Source organism: Homo sapiens, chromosome 13, assembly GCF_000001405.40.
Source record: "Homo sapiens chromosome 13, GRCh38.p14 Primary Assembly".
Lineage (NCBI taxonomy): Eukaryota > Metazoa > Chordata > Mammalia > Primates > Hominidae > Homo > Homo sapiens.
Window position 1 is genome coordinate 55,599,719 of NC_000013.11, and position 5,024 is coordinate 55,604,742.

The 5,024-nt window shown below is 32.6% G+C and overlaps 1 annotated feature.

Moving 5' to 3' along the window:
• Nucleotides 4,111-4,611: an enhancer, noted in NCBI's record as "H3K4me1 hESC enhancer chr13:56177964-56178464 (GRCh37/hg19 assembly coordinates)". NCBI's record gives its function as "activates a minimal SCP1, AML or CMV promoter by ChIP-STARR-seq in primed H9 embryonic stem cells {active_cell/tissue: H9 hESC(primed)}" and the evidence as "EXISTENCE:reporter gene assay evidence [ECO:0000049][PMID:30033119]".

Here is a 5,024-nt window from a genome sequence, read left to right on the forward strand (position 1 = left end):
AAAATATAACTGAATTGAATATCCTACAAGACTTAATGATATTAAAGAAAATATATGATAGAATATATTACAATAAAAATATATAATGAATATATAAAGGGGAAAACAAAATTTCTGTAGTGCTGTAAATCAGAACATTTAAATGTTTGGACTAAGCAGATATTGAGAAAGCAGAAGGCTATTAGGAAATATATTAGCAATAAGACATAATTAATCTCTTTTCTCTTAGAGACTCTCATTTTATCTATCTTTTTCTATATCTACATAGATATATGAGAGAAAAAAAGAGAGAGAGAGAGACAGAGAGAGAGAGGGGGGATAGATATAACCATTCACCTTGCTAGTTATCCAAAAGGTCAAAATGAATAAAAGTGGTAGACAAATTTGGAAATTATGATCAATTATGTTACTAGTTACTGTTGCTCTTAGTTCTGTGCTGTAGCTTTCTCATTCAAAATAAGTGACTGAGATTTGGCTGGACTGAAAAAATTTAGAAAGCAATATTACCTGAAATAAATTGTGTGTAAAGTTTAACACAAGAATTATTCTTAGCAAAACAAAAATCATGACAAATTTTAGTATACTGTACATTCAAAGTCACAGTACTTTGTATCATTTAATTTTCTAAAAGTAAGGCATAATTTTTAGGTATATTCCAATATCACAAATTGGCAAGAAATCCAGCATTATTACAGTCAATTCCTTAATTTAAATAAAGTCATCTTTCTCAAATACAGATTTCCTTGAAACATCAGATTGTGTAACCAATATACACATGAAATTGATAATATTTTATAAAATTTGCTTTAGCTCATTCTTATAGAAAAAGTATACTTATTTTGTTTGTAAATAGCTGTACTCCATGAAACAAAGTATAAGACATATTACATACATGTACATAATTTTCTGGAAATGTATTAAGGATAAAATGAGTTTTTTTCAAATTTTAATGATTAATGCCAAGTGTTAAATACTTGCAATGTATACTATTCTGAGATACTTATAGATCTGAATAAAAGAAATCTAATGAAGTATTAAAATTGAAGCATTGCAAATCCAAACAATACACAGTTGCATGCTATAATCTAAGTTTTAAAATTACTAAGTAGTATACACACATTGTTTCTTTGTTAAAATCAGAAATTTGAATATATGAAAATGAATTTGCAGAGAGAAGTTTGAGGAATACAACAAATGTCTTAAGGGAATTAAAAAGTGAAAATCTCAACCAGTACTTTATAATGTCCTTAAGTCTTCTATTATAGAAATGCCATTTTTAATGATTGTAACTGTTACTTCTATTACAATTATTATGTATTTATTTATTTTGAGACAGAGTCTTGCTATGTGGCCCAGGCTAGAGTGCAGTGGCACGATCTCAGCTAGGTTAACATCCTAGGTTCAATTGATTCTTGTGCCCCAGCCTCCAGAGTAGCTGGGATGACAGGTGCAAACCACCACGCCCAGCTAATTTTTGTATTTTTAGTAGAGATAGGGTTTCACCACAGTGGCCAGGCTCATCTCAAACTCTTGACCTCAAGTGATCCACCAAACTTAGCCTCCCAAAGTAGAATTACAGGGGTGAGCCACCACACTGGGCCTGCAATTATTATTTAATGTGAGATTTAAATAGCTGTTTAGAAAAATATACATGGGAAATTTGATAATTGTTTAAGTCATTTTTTTAGAATCCTTGAAGGTGTTTAAGTACTGTTTATTCAACATTTAGAAATTATAATAATATAGAAGAAATGGCTTATTGTACTGTACAACCTAATATATTTATTCTACTTAAAAGGAAGATTCTTAATACTTCTTTCTGATATCTACATATACCATGGATAAAAGTCTATAAGTATGATAGATACTTATGTATTTTTTCTACCACAGTCAATGAGAAATGTTAAATTCACATTTGACACTTGCTTCCATGGGTTTGCATCAGCAATAGGGGTAAAATCTCCTTTAATCACACTTACAACTACATTTTTATCTTTCTCACTCAAGAAGGTATATGTAAAATCAAATGAATAAGACCAACTTAATGATAGGGAAAATCCTATCTCCTAATTTGTTCTTATACAATACACTTTGCTATTTTATCTTGTTTTAAAAGTGAGCCCATATGGTATAAGCCATAATTGATTGAGACATTTTAATGGGTGATGCTCGATTGTCTTAATACAGAGTGTGTGCAACAGATCTGATACAGTAGACAGAATTGTTGCGCATTATGGCAAGGGTGACTTTTTCCCCTCCATCTCTCTCACTTAAAACGAAGGATATTTAAAAGAGAAATGTCTTCTCAAGTTTAAATGTTGAATTTGTTTCTAAGTTATTATAATTATTATCCATATTATTATATTAATATTGTGATTTCATAATAATTTATTAAGTTTTTTTGTTTGTTTTGTTTTGTTTTTTTGAGACATAGTCTCTCTCTGTCGCCCAGGCTGGAGTGCAGTGGCGCGATCTCGGCTCACTGCAAGCTCTGCCTCCCGGGTTCACGCCATTCTCCTGCCTCAGCCTTCCGAGTAGCTGAGACTACAGGCGCCTGCCACCAAGTCCAGCTAATTTTTTGTATTTTTAGTAGAGACTGGGTTTCACCGTGTTAGCCAGGATGGTCTCGATCTCCGGACCTTGTGATCCCCCAGCTTCGGCCTCCCAAAGTGCTGGGATTACAGGCGTGAGCCACTGCGCCCTGCCGTTTTATTAAGTTTTAATATTTATTAGGTATTATTTTATGCTCAAGACACCGTTCTAAAAATTTTATAAATGATTGTTATTTAATCACCATAGTAATGCTAAATGTGCTCAAAACTACTTAAACACTGGCAGAGCCAAGATTCAAACCTAGGCAGTTTCACTCAATAACTACTGTTTTCAACCACAAAACACTATCAAATAATAAGCAGTTATTATGTATTGCATGATATAGATTCTTACGAATGTATGAAGTCATTTAAGGGAGTCCATAAAAAAATTTAATACTTATTGAACTCTTATCAAATTTGTCAATTAGTGTGTTATTTGATCCTTACACTAGCTCTAAAAACCACCTTCTATAATTAGGCTAATCTTTACAGATACGAAAATAATTTTAAAATAGAGATGTTACAAAAGTTGACCAAAGTGTTAGGAACTTGCCTAAGATAAAAAAGCTAGTAAAAGGCAAACTTGCCTTTGAACCCTGGCCTATAATTCCAGAATACATGTTCATATTCATTGTTAGTGTGACATATAACCAAGAGAGCTGACATGGCACAAATGGTGCCTTTTAAGTTCATAACAATTTGAGGTAACATTGTGTTTATTATCATGAGGAAGCATAAGATTAGGTATGCATATGCATATAGGATCAGCAATACATTTCTTATTTTGAATTAATGTTAATGAATTGATAGGTAATTCAGATTATCTGTATGTTGATAATTGTACTTATTTATGTAATGCAAAGCACTAAAGTCAGAGTAGAACTGCACGCTTTGTTGGAACCAGTATATGAATGTTACTGGGCAATTCACAGCAGGACTAGCAGCTGGTTGTTTTGCCTCCACTTTTTTAAGATCTGTTCATTTCTTTCAAAGATGTGCTGTTGCTCCTAATCAAACATTTCCTCAAACATCACTCACAATATGGGTTTCTCTAAATAAACATGAGTCTCTCATTGCTTAGTATTATATAAAATATATATTTTAAAAATAACTAATTTACACAGGTTCTAACTATGTACATCTCTCATGTCATTTTAATCAGTTTTATGGTTTGCTATCATAGATGATGTTATTAACTATTATCTTAAGAGTATAATCATAATTTTCCTCAAATAATTTCAGGGAAATTACTCCCAATCTATATCCTATTTACAATGTGTGTATGTCATATAATTTTAAAAAGTATACATGTATTTTTTGCAAAGAACTAAAAGTAAGAATTAAAACATGAACATTGCCTCTGTATGAGAGCTATGCCATTTGACATCTCTTTCTTCATTTTTCTTTCCAATCGGAAAAAAAGTGTTTAAACTTCAAGGAAAAGGAATCTTCTACTTGCTTGATGGTATCTTTCTATTTAAAGATACTTAGTTATTTTCACCCAGAGCTTTCACGGCATTTTCACACTATCTCATCAGCTAGTCAATAAAGAATTATGCGCAGAGCTATAATTCTTTTTTTTTAACTTTTACATGTTTTTTTCTAAATTGAGCCATGATTCACACTTTTGTAATATAGGCCTTGATTTATAAACTCAAACCCAGATGTTTGATATTTCTCCATATAGTTTTGTTAAGCATTGCATCTATTTTACACTTCAGATCAGGAGTATAGACTCCATGGAAACTTAGATAAGTCCTATCTTCAATGATCTTTTTAACATTTCTCACATGGAATGAGAAAATTATTCTATTTCATATGTTGCTTAACCAAAATATGAAAAGCTTTAATATTTTGATAAAGTACTTTTCATAATGGCTATGCTAATTGTAATCTGTGGAAGCTTGGTGAAGTAACATACATATTTTTCAAGAATTACTCTTCCCTGGCCGGGCGCGGTGGCTCACGCCTGTAATCCCAGCACTTCGGCCGACCGAGGCGGACAGATCAAGAGGTCAGGAGATGGAGACCATCCTGGCTAACACGGTGAAACCCCATCTCCACTAAAAAAATACAAAAAATTTAGCCAGGCGTGGTGGCGGTCGCCTGTAGTCCCAGCTACTCAGGAGGCTGAGGCAGGAGAATGGCGTGAACCCGGGAGGCAGAGCTTGCAGTGAGCCGAGATCGCGCCACCGCACTCCAGCCTGGGCGACAGAGCGAGACTCCATCTCAAAAAAAAAAAAATAAAATAAAGTCCAAAGAATTACTCTTCCCTTAATGAACTGAAAAATTTAGCTAGTTAGATCTCTAATATTTTTAATTTTATAATTTTGAATAAATGTACGCACTATATTCACATCTCAAAAAGCTACAAAAAGAAAATCAACCAAACAAAAACCATAAAGGAAAAAAAGTAAAATAGAAGACACT